The sequence below is a fragment of the Homo sapiens genome, chromosome 5 (genome assembly GCF_000001405.40).
Source record: "Homo sapiens chromosome 5, GRCh38.p14 Primary Assembly".
NCBI lineage: Eukaryota > Metazoa > Chordata > Mammalia > Primates > Hominidae > Homo > Homo sapiens.
Genome location: NC_000005.10, coordinates 145,777,488 through 145,799,339, shown reverse-complemented (window position 1 = coordinate 145,799,339; position 21,852 = coordinate 145,777,488). Strand labels below are relative to the sequence as shown.

At 38.4% G+C, this 21,852-nt stretch overlaps 1 protein-coding gene across 17 annotated transcripts in view; it reads left to right on the top strand.

Moving 5' to 3' along the window:
• Positions 1–21,852, top strand: part of PRELID2 (PRELI domain containing 2) — a 606,358-nt gene that overhangs the window by 36,003 nt on the left and 548,503 nt on the right. For 12 of the 17 annotated variants that reach the window (XR_007058586.1, XM_047416830.1, XM_047416828.1 and 9 more), the window contains one exon: positions 2,793–2,898. The exons of the other annotated variants lie outside the window; for them this stretch is intronic. Coding sequence is in view for 11 of the 12 variants with exons in the window: in XM_047416830.1 (XP_047272786.1) it covers positions 2,793–2,898 (106 nt within the window). In the remaining variant the exon portion in view is untranslated. The remainder of the gene's footprint in view (positions 1–2,792; positions 2,899–21,852) is intronic. 17 annotated transcript variants of the gene reach the window in all.

The window sequence follows — 21,852 nt, the reverse complement described above, 5'->3', positions numbered from 1 at the left end:
ATGAGCTGCCTTAGCTTTTGTTTATTTAGGAACATCTTAATTTCTCTTTCATTTTTGAAGGATAGTTTTGCTGGATGTAGTATTTTTGTCTTGTAGGTTTTTTTTTTTTTTTAATTTCAGTATTTTGAACATGTCATTCCATTCACTTCTTGCCTGCAAAGTTTCTGCCAAGTAATCTACTGAAAATCTTATAGGAGCTTAATGTGATGAGTTGCTTTTCTCTTACTGCTTTCAAGATTCTCCCTTTTTCTGTGACTTTTGACAGTTTGACTATAATGTGTCTTGGTGTGAGTCTTTTATATATATATATATATTTTATTATACTTTAAGTTCTAGGGTACATGTGCACAACGTGCAGGTTTGATGCATAGGTATACATGTGCCATGTTGGTTTGCTGCACCCATCAACTCATCATTTACATTAGGTATTTCTCCTAATGCTATCCCTCCCCTAGGCCCCCACCCACTGACAGGCCCTGGTGTGTGATGTTCCCCACTCTGTGGCCAAGTGATCTCATTGTTCAATTCCCATCTATGAGTGAGAACATGTGGTGTTTGGTTTTCTGTCTTTATGATAGTTTGCTGAGAATGATGGTTTCCAGCTTCATCCATGTCCCTGCAAAGGACATGAACTAATCCTTTGTTATGGCTGCATACTATTCCATGGTGTATATGTGCCACATTTTCTGAATCCAGTCTATCATTGATGGACATTTGGGTTGGTTCCAGGTCTTTGCTATTGTGAATAGTGCTGCAATAAGCATATGTGTGCACATGTCTTTATAGTAGCATGATTTATAATCCTTTGGGTATATACCCAGTAATGGGATGGCTGGGTCAAATGGTAATTCTAGTTCTAGGTCCTTGAGGAATCACCACACTGTCTTCCACAATGGTTGAACTAATTTGCACAGATGTGAGTCTTTTTGTATTTATCCTAGTTGAAGTTCATTGAGCTTTCTCAATTTGTATGCCAATTTCCTCCCTCAAATTTGGGGAATTTTCAGCCATTATTTCTTCAAATAGGCACTCACTCTGCTTCTTTCTCACTCTCTTCTCATTCTGAGATTCCCGTAATGTGGATAATGATCTGTTTGATGATGTCTTATAAGTCCCTTAGGCTCTCTTGACTTTTCTTTATTCTTTTTATTTGTTTTTTGGTTCCTGACTCAATAATTTCAAATAACCTATCTTTAAGTTTGCTGATTCTTCTGCTTGATCAAGTTTGCTATTGAATGAGCCACTCTAGTGAATTGTGTTTTAGTTCCATTATTGTATTCTTCAACTCTGGAATTTCTGCTTGGTTCTCATTTTTCTCATAGTTTCTTTTTGTTGATAGTCTCATTTTATTCTTGCGCTTTATTTTTCCTGATCCATTTAGTTGTCTATTTTAGTTCATGGAGCATTTTAAGATGGTTATTTCAAGTTCTTTGTGAGGTAATTCATAGATCTCTGTTTCTTCAGTGTTGGTTTCTAGAGATTTATTTTGTTTCTTTGATTGGGCCATGTTTCCTTGTTTCTTTGCATGCATTGTGATCTTTTGTTGAGGTTTGGGTATATAAAAAAACAGCCACTTCTCCCAGTCTTATGGACTGGCTTCATACAGGGAAGACCTTCACTAGTCAGCCTAGCTTGAGATTCTGGGGGCCTCTCAAACCTTTTTGAGGGATGCATCTTCTCTGGACTTGTGTGTAATTTCCCAGTCACAGAGGACTGCCCCTGTTCTCAAGAGCCCATGATCTTTTGTTACCCTTGTTGTCTGTCTGAGGTACTGCAGGCTCTCTAGTGTAACAAGCCACCATGCTTGCTTTTGAAAGTATATTGCCATTTCCTTTAGCACTCTGAGTCATGCCCCTCTTAAAGACAGGATGTTGGATGCACAGTTAGCACTTTTCTATCCCTACTGAGGGAGAAGCCAGAAGCTGGGAGTTTTTTCTTGATTGCGTTACACTATGCTGGGTGGGAGGGAGCTATCATAGGTAAAAGCAACAAAGTTTCTTATCTGCTTTGATGTGGCTCTTCTTGGCTTTGCACCTACCTGGGTGCTGCTAATTCTTGAGGGAGTTCTCATAAAGGCAATTTGGTTTGTATATTGTTCTTAAGTCATTGTCTCTCAGGGTAATGAAGGCTTGGGACTTCCTATTCAGCCATCTTACTTCTATCACTCTTAAGTGTAATCTAGATCTCTGTTTTATGACATGAAGATAATTAATATTGATATAATTTTGGTAATGAAAATTGGTAGAGATGGTGACATATCTCTTCTGTCTCACCCCTTCTCCAATCGAGGATTGAAAAAGTCATTCCAGGTGTCTGGCTTTCCAATCTTGTCTCTATCTGACTCTCTTTAGTAATAGTAGCTAACATTTAGTAAATGCTTATGTGTTAGGAACTCTTCATATTCCTGTGATGTGTGATAACTCATTTACTTGCCACAGTAGTTGTAAAAGAAAGATACTATGGTCGTTCCCATTTTACATGTGAGGAAACCGAGTTATAGAGAGTCTAAATAATTTACCTAAGGTCATATCATTGATAATTACCTCAGACTCAATTTTAAAAAGAGATTTTGCAGCATGAAATGAATATTCTTTAATTTGAATAAGACTGTTAATATTATATAAACTATAAGTTACTTTTAACAAAATCTTCTTATAATAGGTAGTTATTGAATTATTAAGGATATTATTTTTTATTGATTATAAGTGGTAATTATGCAGCTAGAAATGTCTGTCGTTTACATATCCAAGCATAGAATGACATCAAAGATGTGTTTTTTGTTTTTTTTGCAGGACAGAGTTCATTCAAAGAGGCAGGATTTCAATCACAGGGGTTGGATTTCTCAACTGTGTTTTAGAAACTTTTGCCAGCACATTCTTACGACAGGGAGCCCAGAAGGTAACCATATTTCTGCTTTGAACCAACATTAATTTTAAAAAACAATAGGAGTTCCAATAGGGTTATTGAATAAGACTCATGAGCAGACATAATGAGAAAAACATATAGTTAATAAACAAATATATGCAAAAATAATCAACCTCAAAATTATTACATAAATTCAAATCAAAGTAAAACTAAAGTGGCATTTATGGCTCATTAAATTAAAAATATGCCAATGAAGAGTATGTGAAAATTTGGAGCATACTTATAATCTAATTAAAAGAAATAATCAGAATGAATAATAATGTATAGTATGATGACAACTATTTAATAAAGATAATGATAGTTAATATTTATTGAGCACTTACTATGTACTACTGACTGCTAAAAGAATTTGTATTATTAACTCATTGAATCCTCACAAACCTTTGCAGGAGCTGTTATTGTTGTCCTAATATTATGGATGAGGAAAATACAGAGACCCCAATTGTCCACTCTTATAGTTTTCAAACTCTATTCTCAAGGGAGCTTAGGCTTCCATGAAAGTGATTCAGAAGCCATGTTGGAGTTCTAAGGTCCTGTGTGCTCTATTTTAAGTAGAGCTTTTCCATTTTAATCTGTCCTCTATGGTATTCCATATAACATTTATATCTTCTATTTTCTTTCCTTAATAGCATTATTTTTAAAACTTCATGTCAAAACCCATTGCTTATGCATTTTTATGTGCTTATTGCAGTGCTCAGTATAAAGCAGTTGCTCCTAAGTGTTTTATTATTGTTATTAATTACGATGATAATTATACTCATTTATTTCCAGATTTTACTCAGGACTTTTTGTATAAGTTTACCTCATTTTGTTTTGTGGGATAGAATTAACCGCTGGTGTAAAGAACCATTGTTATGACCCTCAGAGACTTCCTGGCAATGGACCCTTGTTTTCATTTTTGCATGTCTAGGTTCAAGGATGAACCTGTACTAGGAGGTGTTCATCTGGGAGGCTGAGGGCGGTGAATGAATATTCAGTACCGTTCTGTACACCATAGACATACTGTTGTGATTGATGATGTGTTCTTGCTCCAGTTGAGGTGGTTCCTGGCACATATTCAGACTGGTCCAGCCTCTTTAAACCTGGACTTGAAGGGAGTAGTTGAACTTCCGGAAGATCTTATGTCACCTTTACTCACTCAGACATTATTGCAAATTTTTCTGCTATATTGCAATTTATGCGTTTGTAAAAACTCCCATGTTCTGCAGCATTGCATTCTAAAAATAGTGGAACTGATGAGAAAAGTAATTTCATTGCCATGTTTCTTACTGAGTTGACTTTTTGTGCATCCTTTAAACTCTGTATGATGATAATAGTAATAATAAATTGAATTTTTTTATAATACAGCTATATTCACTAGAAGAATGGGATTTTTTTGAGGGGGAGGGATAACATTTAGGTGAAGCAGCGTTCAAAATTCGTGTTCCTTATTATCAAATTGATTGCAAATGTTCATTTATAAAAACCATTCTTGCAGGCCATATAAATACAGGTGGTGGGCTGGATTTGGCTTGTAGGGTATAGCTAACCCCTATTTCAGATAAATATTATTTCATTAACTGAGGTTGGTCTGTATTTGATGCATCAATTAATCTGATGAACCTAATAATGACTTTTAATTGCACAGTGGTTATGTACATTCTGATCCTGTGAGACACATAAAGTGAAATTTTTATTCCCATTTTATTAATGAGAATGAGAATTCCCATTTCATTAATGAGAAATGACTTGACTTAAAAGATAAGCATACCCGATACGTGGTAACTGCTTTCCCTGCTTCCTTCCTCTTACAGATATATATTGAGTACCTGCTTTGCACTAGGCACTGTGCTAAGTGTGGGCTAAATGTGTTTCTTCAAGGTCACAGAACTAGCAAAGGGTGGAGTCTGGACTTAAATCCCTATCTTTTGTCAATAAGAGTTCCCTCTTGCCACTTTACTGTGCAGCCCTCAGATGAATGAAGTGAAATCCTTGCCTACCTAGCATCACGAACTTCACTAATACTTGTGTTTGTTAGATGAATTTGTGTTGTGGTCTTACTCCCTTTGGATTTATTAGGACTATTTGGTTGCAAGTAACAGAAACCACTTCAGGCTAGCTCATTCTAAGTGTACAAGGGTGGTGAGGCTGGCAGCCTTCAGAAAGGTCTTCACTGGGAACTGAACACTGCCAGCAACCAAGTGGTATTCCTTCTTCAGCTCTTGTCTGTAAGACTATGTGTCTATTTTATTCCACTCTTTCTGTGTAGTCTGGTTTTCTCTGCTCCCCAGGCTATATAATGGGACATGGGCCTCCATTGTCAAGCATACATATTATATATTAATAGAATTCTCACTAATAATAAAATAGCTTATTTCTTTTCTTTATTAATTCTTTGGGAGGGACTCTCGTTGGCCTCCTATAGGTCAGGCACCACCAGGAAGGTGGAAGTCAAGTTGTCCAGTTATGGCTCATTCTCTGCCATGACCACATGGACCAGGGTTAGGGGCCACTTCTCAGGGGAAGGGGTTGTGGGGCGGATATATACTCCCCAAAGTTTCTAGCATGATCCCACTTTGATTTTATGTTCCTTGATGGCAGAAGTGGTTTCATTCACCTTAATTCTTATTCCCTTCTCCCAACCTATAGTACCTTGGACAGTGTTCCATCCATTCGTGTGGGAATGAGTAGAAAGGAAATGCCCAGGGAGGTTCACAGTTGGTTTCTGATGAATATTACCTGGAAATAATTAGGTGACTTCAACTTCTTAAAGTGATTCCTTTTTATTCTCATTTATTATGCTTAGAAGTAAGAATATATTTTTCCTGCTAGCTTTTGCCTTTTCTGACTTACTTTTTCTTTTCGAAGAGGCCACGTTTAATTAGCTTTTTGATTTTAGGAGCCATTTATGCCTGAGTGTCTTTTTTGTTTTATCCAAGTGGTCATTTTTTCTGGTATCAGCCTGACTTCCTGATAAACCTTCACAGCTGAGCCTGCATAAATGGTTTCTGTGGAAGTCACCATAAGAGTGTTTTAGGTGACTTTATTTTCACTTTAGGACTTATTGCTGAGTCTGTTTAGTAGTGGTAATGATGGGATCTGATATCTATTTTTTTCCAGAAAAATCAAAACTAGGTACTCACAAACTTTATATTTTTATGTTTGTAAATTAAAAGCTGGCTTTAGCCATGGATCCCCAAGCTGAGGTCATACGTATTCTGTGCCTCTGGGGACTGGCTCAATTGCTTTTTTCTCCTTCCTTCATCACTCTTAAAGGGAGGTAACTTGGAATTTGGGAGCCTTTGTGTCACAAATGCTGACTTTTCACACACCAGTCAGACCCCTCCTTCCTCCTGGAGTGGAAATCTGTGGGCAGGAGAACTGGGATTTCCGTTTGGCAGCCAAGTTGACAGATGTATCCTTGAAACGGAGTGGTTCTGAACTTACAGTCCTCTGGACTTGCTCTCCTCACCTTTGTGACCCAGCACAAATCACTTTGGCCCTCCCTATTCTCAGTTTAATTGTCTGCAAAATGGGGATTTTAATGTGTTCCCACAGGTACATGTGAAAACTAAGTTTGATAACTTTCTGTAACTTAGTAAACACAGGTCAAATATACAAAATATGTTTTAGTTTTCAAGAATTAAGAAAAATCACTGCCACATACTTCTTTAACATATTTTCTTTTTATGGTTATATGTTTTTTTTTCTCTCCCTCAAATTCATGTAAACACATACAGTCTAGACAACTAGATTTTAAGTTCAATTCCACCAGCACTTTTTGGGTGTCACCTATGTGCCAGGCATTGGGTAGAATGCTGGAGACACAAGTAAGAATTAAGACATAATTCACAAGATAGAGACTGTGCCTTAAGTAGCTTTACTTCTGGGACATCTAGCTCAGGGTGGAAAGCAGGACAGACAATGAATGAACATCTGCTGATGCAGAAAATTTATTGAGCCTTGTTTGGTGTTCAGTGCCAGCACTATGATCAGTGCTGAGAAGCATATTAAAATAACAGCTAGTGCTTGCAAGAGCTTAGTAGATGCCAAGCACTGTCCTTGGCACGCATTACCTTATCTGATTTTCTGGACAACATAATGAAATAGGAAATGTTATTTTCATTTTATGCATAGGGAAACTGAGGTCCCAAGTGGCAAAGTAGTTTTCTCAAGGTCACAGAATTAGTAAATGGTGAACCGGGGATTTGAACCCAAGCTTGTCTGACCCCAGAGTGCTCTTGATTTCTGCATCACAGTGCTGCATCCATGATCTGTGCACTTAAGCCACTTGCGTGGGGCAAGCTGGGTGTTCTTGATATAACCAGAGTGAGGCGATGTGATACACGGTAATGATGGAGGAATGCAAACGTAGGGAGCTCAGTTACAAGAGAGGAGCTTGGAATGGGCCAGAGGAATGCGGCCATGCTACTTGAAACGGCCTATGAGGGGCAAGTGAATATCTTCCCTTCTGTTCAGAGGCCTCAGCATCTGTCGTCTACACTACAGCTGACCTAAACTCCACAGTGCCTTGCAGGTTGACAGTGTGTTAGCTAACGTTTCACCCATTTTTACTGTAATGACGTATCCTCTTTTCTGCTTTTCTGTGTACTGCAGATGTATTGTTATTTGCTTTGAAAATACCTTTGTATTAAAAATAATATTAAAAGTTTGTTTTTTATTGTGGCAAAATATACGTAGCATAAAATTTACCATTTTAACCATTTTTAAGTGTACAGTTCAGTGGCATTAAGTACACTCACATTGTTGTGCAGCCGTCACCATCATCCATCTCCAGAACTTTGTTTCTCTTCCCAAACAGGAACTCCTTAGCCATTAAACAATAACTTCCTATCCCATTCACCTCCTAGCCCCTGGCAACCACCATTCTACTTTTTGTCTCTATGAACTTGGCTAGTTTGGTTATGTCATATAAGTGGACTCATACAGTATTTGTCTTTTTGTGACTGGCATTATTTTACTGAGCATATGTTTTCAGTGTTCATCTGCATTGTAGCATGTGTCAGACTTACCTTTCTTTTTATGGCTAATATTTCCTTGTTTGTATATATCACATTTTGTTTGTCTAGTCACCTGATATGGTTTGGCTATGTTCCCACCCAAATCTTACGTGAATTGTAATAATCCCCACGTGTCAAGGTGGGGCCAGGTGGAGATAATTGAATCATGGGGGCTGTTTCCTCCATCCTGTTCTCTTGGTAGTGATGGGAGTTCCCCTGCACAAGCTTTCTTGCCTGCCACCATGTAAGACGTGACTTGCTCCTCATTCGCCTTCTGCCATGATTGTGAGGCCTCCCTAGCCATGTGGAACTGTGAGTCAATTAAAACTCTTTCCTTTATAAATTACTCAGTGGCTGGTATGTCTTTATTAGCAGTGTGAAAACAGACATCATCCATTGGTGGATTGTTGGGTTGCTTCTGCCTTTTGGCTATTGTGAATAATACTGCTATAAACATGGGTATATAAATATCTGTTTGAGTCCCTGCTTCCAATTCTTTTTGGTATATATATATATATATATACCCAGAAGTGAAATTGCTGGATTAATTATATGTTTAATATTTTGAGGACTCATTTAAAAGGTTTTTTAAATTTTTAAGTTAATTTTTTATTTTTAATTGACAAATTATAATTGTATATATTTACGGGATACAATGTGGCATTTTGATATATATATATATATATATATATACACACACACACACACACACAATGTGGAATTATTAATTCAAGCTTATTAAAATATCTATCACCTCACATATTTAACATTTTTTGTGGTGAGATCATTTGGAGTTTACTCTTAGCAATTTTGAAATTTACAATATATTCTCATTAACTATAGTCAACATGCTATACAATAGATCTAAAAACTTATTCCTCCTGTCTAACCGAAACTTTTTGCCTTTTGGCCAACATCTCCTTATTCTCTCGCACCTCCCCCAGCCTCAGATAACCACCATTCTACTCTCTACTTCTATGAGTTTAACTTTTTTAGATTTTACATATGAGGTATTTGTCCTTCTGTGCCTTATTTCACTTAACATAATGTTCTCCAGGTTTATCCATGTTGTCACAAATGACAGAACTTGCTTCTTTTTAAGGCTGACTAGTACTCCACTGTGTACTATACCACATTTTCTTTGTCCATTCATCCATTGTTGAACACTTAGGTTGATTCCATATCTTGGCTACTGTGAATAATGCTGCAGTGAACATGAGAGTTCAGCTGTCTCTTTGACATACTGATTCCCAATTCTTCGGATAAATACCCAGAAGTGGGATTGCTGGATCATATGGTAGTTCTATTTTGTGTTTTTTGAGGAACTTTCATATAGTTTTCCATAATGGGTATACCAATTTACATTTCCACCAACAGTGTACAAGGGCATCCTTTTCTCCTCATTCTTGCCAACACTTTTTATCTTTCATCTTTTTGATATCAGCCATTGTAACAAGTATGAGGTGATATCTCATTGTGGTTTTAATTTACATTTCTCTAATGATTGGTGCTGTTGAACCTTCTTTTTTTCATATACCTGTTGGCCATTTGTATATTTTCTTGTGGGAAATAGCTGTCTGGTTCTTTGCCCATTTCTTAATTGGGTTATTTGTTTTCTTGCAATTGAGTTGTTTGAATCCCTTGTATATTTTGGATATTAACCCCATATCAGATGTGTGATTTGTAGATATTTTCTTCCAACTTGCAGGTTGTCTCTTCACTCCATTAATTGTTTCCTTTGCTGTGCATAAGCTGTTTAGTTTGATGCAATCTTATTTGTCTGTTTTTGTTCCCTGTGCTTTTGAGGCCAAATCCAAAAAATCATTGCCCAGACCAATGTCATGGATTTTTTCCCTTGTATTTCCTTCTAGTAATTTTATAGCTTCAGTTCTTATGTTTAAGTCTTTAGTTCATTTTGAGTTGATTTTTGTATATGGTGTGAGATACAGGTCCAATTTTATTATTCTATGTGGATATTCAGTTTTCCCAGCACCATTTATTGAAGAGACTGGTTTTTTTCCCATTGTGTGTTCTTGGCATCTTCCGTGAAAATCAATTGACTGTAAATGCGCAGGTTCATTTCTGGTCTCTCTATTCTATTCCATTATTCAATGTGTCTGTTTTTTGCCAGTATTGTGCCATTTTGATTACTATAGGTTTGTAATGTATTTTGAAAAGAGAGAGTGTGATGCTTCCAGTTTTGTTCTTTTTACTCAAGATTACTGTGGTTATTTGAGGTCTTTTGTGGTTCCATGTGAATTTTAGAATTGCTTATTCTATTTTTGTGGAAAATGTTGTTGGAATATTGATAGAGATTGCATTGAATCTGTAGATTGCTTTGGGTATTATGGATAAGTTAGCAATATTAATTCTTTCAAGCTATGATCATGGGATGTCTTTCCATTTATTTGTGTCTTCAGTTTTGTCCATGTTTTATACTTTTCAGTGTAGAGATCTTTTACTGCGTTGGTTAAATTTATTCCTAAGTATTTCTTTGGTAACTACTATAAATGAGATTGATTTCTTAATTTTTTCGGATAGTCTGTTGTTAGCATATAGAAATGATACTGATTTTTGTATGTTGATTTTTGTATCCTGCAACTTAACTGAATTCATTTATCAGTTCCATTTTTTGGTGGAGTCTTTAGGGTTTTATATATATATATAAGATCATGTTGCCAGCAAACATAGATGATTTTACTTCTTTCTTTTCTACATGGGTGCCTTTTATTTCTTTCTCTTGCCTAATTGCTCTAGCAAAACTCCCAGTATTATATTGAATAGAAGTGGCGAGAGTGGGCCACTTCTTTTGAGATAGTTGTCTATCTGTGTGCATGACAGCAATGGGGTATACCATTTCTGTGAATTTTTCTCAATTCTATACAGAAGAATGAATATATACCATCAGCCAATGAGCACTGGTGGGTGTGCCATACAGTGTGTTCCTCAACCTGGGAGGCATTCACTCATCTCTTGACCGTGCCATAGTCTCTCTCAGCCTAGATTTCATGTGCTGGTGGACACTTTTGACCCGTGGTGGCCAATAGAAGATAGTATGTTGGAAGTGCCAAAAACATGCTGAAGACAAGTATTTGCTTATCTCAAGTCATGCTAAAATATGTAGTTAGCTTTTAATAGGCCTTGAGATAAGTAAGTACATTCAGAAAGCAGATCAAAAAGATAAAGATCTGAAGGAAAATAGTGGTTGGTGGAAATCTGGGACACATGAAAGGCTTCATATACATTTCTACAGCCTTGGAAGATGGCCCAACCACTGTGTGAAGCAGAGCTGGAAGACACCCAGGCCAGAGTCAAGTCATGATCTCAGACCTCAGGGACCCAAAGAGGAGGAAACAGAGACATCACTGATGCTCTGCAGGTGCTCACCAGTTTGGGAGGGCTTTCCTTAGGTCAGTGTTTCTCAACCCTTTTTTCATTATTACTCCCTTCAGGAGCCTTTTTAGACAATTTTCCCCTAATTGCTCTTTTCACCATGAAATTTTAAGACCATAGATAGACTGATTATTTGTTCATATACTATATTATGTTCAATTTATACATAAAAAGTGAAGATAGCAGGGTGTGGTGGCTCATGCCTGGAATCCCAGCACTTTGGGACGCTGAAGTGGGAGGATCACTTGAGCTCAGGAGTTTGAGACCAGCATAGGCAACATAGGGAGATCTCGTCTCTACAGAAAACCAAAACAATTATCTGGGCATGTTGTTGCATGCCTATAATCCCAGCTGCTCCGGGGGCTGAGGTGGGAGGATTGCTTGAGCTGGGAGGTAAAGGCTGCAGTGAACTGTGATGGCACCACTGCACCCTAGCCTGGGTGACAGTGAGACCCTATGTCAAAAAAAAAAAAATTGTTGCCTCTTTTCAATATTGCCCTGTTGAGACAGCATGCCATTTACTATTTTGGGCATACTATTTAGGGAGCTTTTGTCTCTACTCCTCCAAATTGACATCTTCCGTGTGAAGTGAAAAAATTGCTAGCTTCCCACTCCCCAAAAATCTCAAACCAAAAATTTCCAAACGCAAAGCAAAAGAACGTTTTGGTGAACCCCCACATAGTTGCTTACAAATTCCACATTTTGCTTCTCTGGGGAGGCTTAGGAGATAACATGGGTGATAACAGTCTTGTTATGCAAGCATTCTTTTTTTAGCCTAGTTTGTCTGAATCTTTAGAGAGTACTACAAATGCTGTGGAAATGCAGAGCTCTCATTATGCAATCGCATAGACGTGTTTTTTGTTTTGTTTTGTTTTGTTTTTTGTTTTTGAGTTTGTGAAATACATTTTCAATGTGTGATGAAATAATTTGTTATTTCAGCCACTCTCCTGGCAAGGCCCCATTATTAGTTCCATCATTATTCTTATTGTGATCAGGAGGCTGAAGCAGAGAACGATTGAATTCAACAGTGTGTGAAATATTTGTCACTGAAACAATGCGGGCAAGTCAAACAATTTGAACATCGCTTTTAAGAAGGTCTGGCCTAGACATGCTACAGCTAAAGAAATCAGAATATGCAGTTTCCTTGGGGTGTATGCTTGTTATTTTAGCCTTATAGAAATCCATTTTAGTAGTGGGAGATAATTTCCTGGGACTCAAGAAAAAAGTGGAGATACTACAAATGTAGTTCAAGTAGGCATTTGAAAAACCTTGAGACATTTGGTGGCATTATTTTTGTAAAGTAACTGTATTAGTTATTTATTGCTGTGTAACAAATTGCCCCAACTTTGCAGCTTGAAACAACACATATGTATTACCTCTGTTTCTGTAGATTAGGAGTCTAGGCACAGCTTAGTTGGATCTGTTTCAAGGTTTCACAGGGATGTAATCAAGGTTTTAGCTGGGGCTGCAAACTCATCTGAAGGCTCAGTGGGGAAGCTTCATCTCCAAACTCACATGGTTGCTGGTAGGATTCAGCGGGCCTCCCTTGGTTCCTTGCCACATGGGCCTCTGTATAGATGATCTCAGAATGTGGCAGTGAGCGTGAGAGCAAGAGAGTGCTACCAAGGTGAAATATCACAGTTTTTTATAAACTAATTGAAGTGACATCCTTTTATTTTCTGTATTCTTTTCATTAGAAGAAAGTCACAGCCCACACTAAAAAGGAGATTACACAGGGGCATAAATACCAGGAGGCACAGGTCACTAGGAGCCACATCAGAAGCTGCCTGCCACACTGACCTTATCCAACCTGTATGCTGAGTTGTAGGCATAAGTATTAAGTTCTTTTTGATATATACTGGGTATTGATTATAATGAGAGGTTGCTGAGGGTCAGCTGCATCCCAGAAACCTCATTAACAGTTTATGGAAATTTCTGTGACACATATATTGTGACATTTATTAGTTATTTATTTATAAGTAGGCACAAAATAGTTGACCTGTTCTGTAAGTTTAAGTCTTCATCCTTTTGGGTGCTCAGGCCATGAATTGCATGAACAGCTCACTGAAGGCACAGCAGACAATATTCCAAAGGCAGGATTCAGCTATTTTATAGAGAGCATCAGGTAACCAGAATCTTCTGATATAGTAGCTGGCCCTGGGACCATTTAGGCATAAACTGTGGATGCCATCCCTAAAGTTGGAGGGTGAAGGTCTTGCTAGATAGAGACTTACACCCTGATGGCACAAGGATGGGTGCTTGTTTAGAATTTTGAGCTAATCCACGTATCTTAAGTTCCATTCATTGAGTTAATGACAGTCCATTTCTAATATCCATTATGCTAGTTAACAAGCCATTATTTTTACCAGTGAAAATTTGCAATTTTAACATTCCTTGTGCTAATAATCAAAGCCTTTGGTGTCTGACTGAAGTTTCTGGAGAGCGAGGTTGCTGATTAGAATGCTCACAGACAGCCTCTGGCATGTGAGGCCTGCATTAGGGCATCTAGCTGTATCTAGTGTATAACTTGAACTAACACTCATACTATCGTAGTATACATCATGTGCTGAAGTATTTTAAAGCAAATTATAGACATCTTAACAATCGTATACCAAATATCAACTTCTGAACTAAAAGCATAGTATGCTGTGCCTTTAGAAAGATTGTTCAGTGTGAAACAAAGTTTTGTCTGTATGTTTAACATAGGGATTGTGTATGAAGCTTTAGAGAAAAGCTTCTTGGCCCTTGATTAGGCTTTCTCACTTCCCACAAGTCACACTTTTCTCTCTCAGACCCTAAACTTTCTCTCTCTAGAATGAAGTGATCATAAACCCCATTTTATAGGATTTTTAAAGGATTAAGTGAGGTTACATATGTGAAATATGCCTGGCACATAGTAAAACCTCAATCATTGTCAGCTTTAAGAGACATTCTCTGCTAAGAAGTATATTTTTATAGGTAATAGCCTTTTAAATACAAACATTTTAGATATACCGTGGTACAGGGCAAGTTTGTGGTATTTCTTTTAAAAATGATATATTTTTATCATTTTCTTGAATTATAAAATTACTAAATATTCATTTTCAATTTTTAATTAAAGTGCAAGTAAGATAAAATCATTCATAATTCTAATACTCAGTGTATTCACATTTAACATTTTGACGTAGATCTTTTTATATGTCTGTTCATGTTTGCAAATGTATGTATATGTATGTTTTTTTAAAAAAAAAAAAAACAAAGTTGGGATTATTTAGCCCAACTATTTCATTTGTGGACATATTTATAAACATTTTTTTCTGTGTCATTACATATTCCTTGGAAACATGATTTTTGATGCCTGCATAATATTCCATCGGCATAATAGCTGTTATTGTTGGTTTCTATTTTTCTTCACTATTATGAATAATATTGGAATAAATTTTTGAATATAAATGCCATATAAATATTTGTGTACATTTCTTGTTGCTTTCTGAGCTAAGACCTTTCATGCTTATTGCCAAATTTTCTCCCAAGAGAATTCCGCAAATTTGGCACTGGATATCATCCATATTCTGGCTGTATAACTTGAATGAAAGACTTAACTTCTTAAAACTTCCATTTATCATTAATAAATTAGGCTAATCTCACTTCATAAAATTGTTGAGAAGAAAACAAAATTGTTAGGTCTTGTCTTCTGATATCTACTTTGAAGACTACTGAAAGTTAATGATTCTGCCATTAACTAGTTGTTTGACTTTAGTCCACCTCCATGAATTTTTTTTCTTTTCTTTTCTTTTTTTTTTTTTTTTAAGCTCACCACAACCTCTGCCTTTCAGATTCAAACAATTCTTGTGCCTCAACCTCCCAAGTAGCTGAGACTACAGGTGTGCACCACCATGCCCGGCTAATTTTTTTGTATTTTTAGTAAAGACCAGGTTTTGCCATGTTGGCCAGGCTGGTATCGGACCTGTGGCCTCAAGTGATCTGCCCACCTCAGCCTCCCAAAATGCTGGGATTACAGGTGTGAACCACCATGCCCCAGCCCCCCTCCAAGCCTTTCATATATCCTACCTTGGACCAGTTGCTCTGAGGTGCTCAATTCTTTATCTGTGAACTTACTGTTCAGGAAACACACATACACGGGTAGTCACAATTCTAAAAAACAGTGGATATTTCAAAATTCAGTAATTCCAAGACAGAGGAAAAGAGCATAAAACCGTCGTTCAAAAGAATAAGGAGAAGTCACAAGTGTGATATAAGAACAGGGTGTGATAGTATACTGACTATATATCGGAGACTTGCATTTCCTGCTTGTTCATGTGAACCCTTTCAAGATTCTTTGTTACTTGAACCACATGAAAAAACTGATGAAATATTTTTTCCCTATTCCAGAGGGTTTATTTCCCAGTTCAAATTTACCTCTGTTGATAATACTTTTTAATCCCACCCTTGAGTGCTCAGATAGATTGATTTAGTTGATATTTATTCATTAGCTGTCCTGAGAATATTACCAAGAATTCTGATTTTTAACAGCTTATTTCTAGACCAGGTATATCATAGTAGCTGCTGTATTCTTACACATCTCCTTCCCCATCAGCCCTGCTACTACTATTACCTCTAGAGTTTTCGTCTGATGAAACATAGCTTTTGCAGGGAAAACAGCTTTGTGGAAATGAGTATTCTGTAAGTGATACATTTTTTTGTTCCTTCTACTGAGTTTAAATCAATGCCTTTACCTTGACTGTGAAACCTGGGAATCCACAATCCCTTGATGGCTCATTTGAATTCATCCTGGTTGTAACAGACTTTGCTAAGTGGTAAAGCTTTTGGGAATTCTTGGTTGGTTTACCAGCTGAAATTCTGGGACGTTGCCTTCTATGAAACTAGATGAAATCTCGGAAGTCAAGCTCTTGCCTGAAATGAAGTAAGTGGTTTTCTGAGCTCCAGATGTGTTAGAGCACAGTGATGGGAGAAAGGGCCTCTCCACACAGTGCGGTGAGATGCCTGTCAACCCAGCCAGGAGTCAGGAGACCTGGGCTCTGGCCCTGTCTTGGCCGCTCTCTGAGGGCTGTGTTGCTTGAGCTAGTTGCTCTGAGCTTCACTAACATCTTCTGTAAAATCAGACTTAACTGGGTAGGTCATTTTCAATTAGGCAATTGTATGACTTTTTAAAAAAAATTCTCTCTCCCTTCCTTCAGTGTCTAACCAAGATTTTTCTGTCTGACAAATAGTCTTTAAGCCCTGCATCAAAATGCAGTAGTTTAAGCTAACTAGGGATTTAAGAGCATCAGAGGTAATTCAAACAAGTTTGTAGTCAAGGGTTGAGATGGCAATAAAATATTTAAAAATAAGAAACATAATTTTATAAAATGCTAATTAGCAGAAGCCATGGTAAGCATGTGGTAGGGTTGTTAAAATTTCATTTTATAATTCTATTAACATAAATATGTTGGCTTATTTTTAATCTATGCCTTCTATAAACACAGCCTTTGGAAACTTTGGGGAAGACCAGATATAATATAATAGTAGCTGTAATTTATTGAGTGTTTACCATGAGCCAAGTGCTACACTGTTGTATGAACATTTAGTTTTCCCAGTTACCTTCTGGAACAGAGACTGTGGTTACTCCCACCTTTCTGTTTTACAGATGAGGAAATAGAAGCACACAAAGGTCCAATTCCTTGCACAAAGTCATCAGCCAGTAAGTGGCAGAGCTGGAATTTGAATCCAGGTGGTCTGACCTCAGAGCCCATCCTCTCAACCGCCATTCACTTTGATTCCCTGACAAGGGAGGTCAGAGTCCCAGAGAGTTCAGATGAAGGAGACAAGACAAATGCATGGCTTGTCTCTATCAGCACTGGGTGTACATATGACTTTGAAGTAGATACTTGTTAGACTATAGGGAAAAATGTCCTCATCTTCAAAACACTTAATATGAGACTTGCTTTCTTAGTGTTCCTCTACTCTCACACCCACTAGTTCCTCTAATCTCTCCAAAGAGATTTGGGAGCTGTGTTCTCTCCGCTGTGCTGGATGGAAATTCCAACCAATCTATTAGTTTTCTGAACCTCTTCTCTCACTCTTTTGTGCTAAATTCAAAGACAAAGACAATGAGAAAATAGGAATTTGTGGCCACTATAAATCTTCATGTACCTCGTATAAACCTATGGCAGGCATAGAATTGAAAGCTGCTACAGCTCTGGCCAGGCTGCATTGAAATACCAAAAACAAATTGTGTATTTGTATGTGTGTATATAGATATAGTATATATATATATATAGTGTATATATATAGATATAGTATATATATAGTATATATATATAGTGTGTGTGTATATATATATAGTATATATAGTGTATATATATAAGTGTATATATATAGTGTGTATATATAGTATATATATAGTGTGTATATATATAGTATATATATAGTGTGTATATAGATATACTATATATCTATATACACACACATACATATATAAAAATATAAATATAGGGGCTGCATCTGCACATTGTGTGGACTAAGTGCCTTTAGGAACACATCTGTTGTAAATCAAAAAAAGGCATCATTACTTACAGGATTGGGCTTGGATTTTCCTAGGCTCTTTGTGTTGAATTAAGTCTTTTAGTTTGACCAAAAAGACCAGGAAAATGTCATTCAGACATATCAGCTGAGGGACTAATACAGAATTCTGGGTAGAGCTACTTGAATTGTAAATGTAATTTCATTTAAGGATGCATCTACTAGTTTAGCAACAGCTGTGTCCTTCAGCCCTGCAGCATGCTACTTCAGTGCTCCTTGAGCTGTCTGAGGTGTCCAGCTGTTCCCCTGGAGCATTCTTCCTCCCTTTGTCTATTGTGATTTCTCATCCTGGCTCCCCACTCTAAGATAGAATTTCATCCTTCCTGAAAGACCCCTTTGGTTGTAGCCACCCCTAATGGGCAGCAGGCAGTGACCCAGGAAGGCGGTGGGGAGGAGGCTGCAGTGTCTGCCTGTTGTTAGGAGAAAAGGAAGCATTGTGTCTAGTGAAGCGGGATTTGTTGGAGTGACATTTCTTTGTCACTTTCAGTTTTTTTGAATTCCATTTGCTGTCTGAGATTTGACTCCTTTTTCCTTGGCTAGCTTCTTTCCTTAGATTCCAGCTCACCATCTCTGAATTTCCAAAGGAAAATGGTGGCTTTTTGAGAGTTAAGTAACTCCTTTCTTATTGAGTCCCAATTTAAGTAGAATTTAAAGGCTATAATTAAAATTTCCTCAATCAGGGGCTTTTAGTAGAGTGTAGCTTTTGTTATTTTTAGACATTAACATTTGTTAATACCTATTGGTTTTTCTATTATTCTCTGAACTTCCTGATACATTTGAAATAGTTCAAAATTTAAAAACTTATCATACTCCTCCTAAAAAGACTTTTAAAATCTTTAAACAAAATTAAAAAAACTTATTTAACAATGTTTTAAATAGGTACTACCTGCATGTAAATATTTTAAATTATATTTCCAGTAGAGCCATTTATGTTCTTTTTCCTCAGCTCCCTTTGAAGCCAGCAGAATACTCTGCCCTGACCAGCTGTATGACCTTGGCTGAGCTATTTAATTTTCTGTGTCTCATGTTCCTCATCTATAAAAGGAGGACAATATTGGAACCTACTTTGTAGAGTATTGTGAGGAGTAAATGAGCTATGTACATGAAGCTCTTAGGATAGGATGTGGCAACAACAAATGATCAGTTGTTATTGTTGTCGTTTTGAGGCGGAGTCTCACTTTGTTGCCCAGCTGGATCTTGGCTCACTGCAACCTCCACCTCCTGGGTTCAAGTGATTCTCCTGCCTCAGCCTCCTGAGTGGCTGAGATTACAGGCACCTGCCACCACACCTGGCTAATTTTTATATTTTTAGTAGAGATGGGGTTTTGCCATGTTGGCCAGTCTGGTCTTGAACTCCTGACCTCAGGTGATCCACCTGCCTCGGCCTCCCAAAGTGCTGGGATTATGGGCGAGAGCCACCATGCCCGGCCCCTGTTGTTATTTTAAGAGACGAGGTCTCACCATGTTGCCCAGGCTGGTCTCGAACTCCTGGGCTCAAGCTAGTTGTTGTTATTAACATTACTTAAAAAGTAAAATGCAAGATAGTTAAAAACAATAACTTATTTTTCCCATTATGACATTATAAATAATTGTTTAGTGGTTATGATGAGCCTGTCTTTGGAATCAACCCAATGTGGATTTAAATCAGAGTGCCCTCCCTCATAGAGTATGGATGAACTTAACCTCTCTCTGGGTGAAATATGAATAATACTATATATCTTATGAGTATGAGAGTGAAGGAGATAGTATAAGGAAGTACTTAAAATACCTTGGCACACAATAAATACTTCATAAATGATAACTGTTTTCTTTTCATTATTACCCAAATTGGCGTATTTCCTTCTAGTCTCATACGCAAATTTTAAACACAGTCATAATGAAACAGTGTTAGTACAATTTCATTTCTTGCTTTTTTCAAGTAATATTTTATAATCCCTTTCACAGTAACTACATAAACTTCAAATTCATCATTTTAATGATTATATAATATTTCATTAAATAGTTATATAATAATTTATATTGCCCTTTAGTATTGAACATTCAGGTTATTTCCACTTTTACCATTATAAATGACACCATGTGAAACAACTTTATACATATAACCTTTCATATTTTTGTACCATTGCCTTAGAAAAGATTCCCTGAAGCACTCTTAACTGTATGTGACTACTTTCATGATCCTTTGAATATGTTTTTTATCTCTGTCACTGAAAGATAGGCTTCTGTTTAAGGCTTACCACTTTATCCTTAGTACCTAGCACATCATCAATGCTCAATAAATATTTATTGAATTAATGAACAAATGAACATATTATAATATTATTTTCCAAAAGGGTTAGACTTTATGTTTTCATTCTATTATCTTTTAACAAAACTCTTAAAAACAGAGGCGCTTTCTATATGACACAGGAGTAATCAGAAAGGTAACAGTAACAGGTCATATTTTTTGAGTACTTTCTATGCCCCAGACATCAATCATCCTGAGTATGTTGCATGTATTACCTCATCCAATTTGCTTAGCATCCACCATACAATTCACTATGGTGAGTACTATTGTTACAGGATCTTTGGGGTATCATTTTTCTGGCTGGAAACCTGTGGCTGGTGACACCTTTGCCTGAGTTTTACTTGGGCCTGCTGGGCTCATTCCACCCAGTCGGCCTGGCAGGCTGTGCTTAGTTCACACTACCGCCCTGGCTTCCACGCCTCCAAGGGAGACTGTGAGTCAGGCGTGGAGCAGCGAGGGGTGTGTGAGCAAGCGTGGAGTACAGCCACTAAGCAGTTGGACACACCAGCTGCTGCCGTGGGACAGGCAGCTCTAGGTGCTGGCATGGGTGCCAGTTCTCTGCAAAGCTGTGGCTGGGCCAGGCGCACTACAAGCAGCTTCCCCAGTTGGTACTGTTTGTGTTGTAACTGTTTCAGCTTGGCGGGTACTGAGTTCTTGTTCTGTGATCAGGAAGATTGAGATGCATGGACAAATGGAGGATGAGTAAGACAAAAAGGAGCTTTACTGAGTGATAGAACAGCTCAGAGGGAACTCACAGTGTGTAGCCCCTTTCCACATCCAGGGTGTCCCGTAGAGTGTGCAGCCCCTAGCAGAGAGGAGACCCTGGAGTGAGAAGCTCCTCTCTGCAGGCAGGTCGTCCAGTCGTCCCTGTATCTCTCAGCAGAGAGGAGGCTCTGGAGTGGGTTGCTCCCCTCTGCAGCTGATAATCCTATTTCTAGAGCTGTCAGCAGAGAGGAGGCCCTGGAGTGGGTAGCTCTTCTCTGTGGCTGGTTGTCCCAACATCTGCTCAGCTCTGATTGAGCCTGGGTCTTTTATGGGCCTCAGAGGGGAGAAAGTGTGCACCAGTTGGGTGGCCATAGGCAGGCCAAGAAAAGGCACACAAATTCCCACTCTGGTGGGACTGGCAGCCCCGCCCCCAGCCTTCAGGCCCTCCCTGGCCTGAAGATGGGGCTTCATCGAGGACCTGCTCCCTTCCGTCCAGGAACCTGTCTGCCTCCTGCTGCCATTCATGGTGTCCAGATTCGGCCCTGATGTTGCTCTGAGTTTGGAGCAGTTCCTGACAGCTGAGAGAAGCCAGGCAGCAGGGACAGGCACTTCCAAGCCTGTGAGTGCACAGGGGCCCTTCCCACCCCCTGGCCCCCAAGAGTGTAGGGAAGCCTTGGTTTGCAGTGTGCTTTGGGCGGTTGCAGCTGTGCCCATGGGGGCAGGGTTTCTACCTGCTCCGTGGAGCAGGAGGCCTGGGTCTGCAGCTGCAGTTTGGGTGGCTGTAGCTGCGCGCAGGCAGGCGGGGCTCCCACCTGCCCCTGGGCTCCTGCCAGCTTCATGGAGTGTGCAGCCCTGGCCGTGCCTCCCTGTTGCAGCCAGCAGTGATGGCAGTGGCAGGCCATTTGGAGCAGCTGCTGCCATCATTATCATTACCATTTTATAGTTGAGGAGGCATAGAGAAGTGAGTTGACTTGCCCAAGA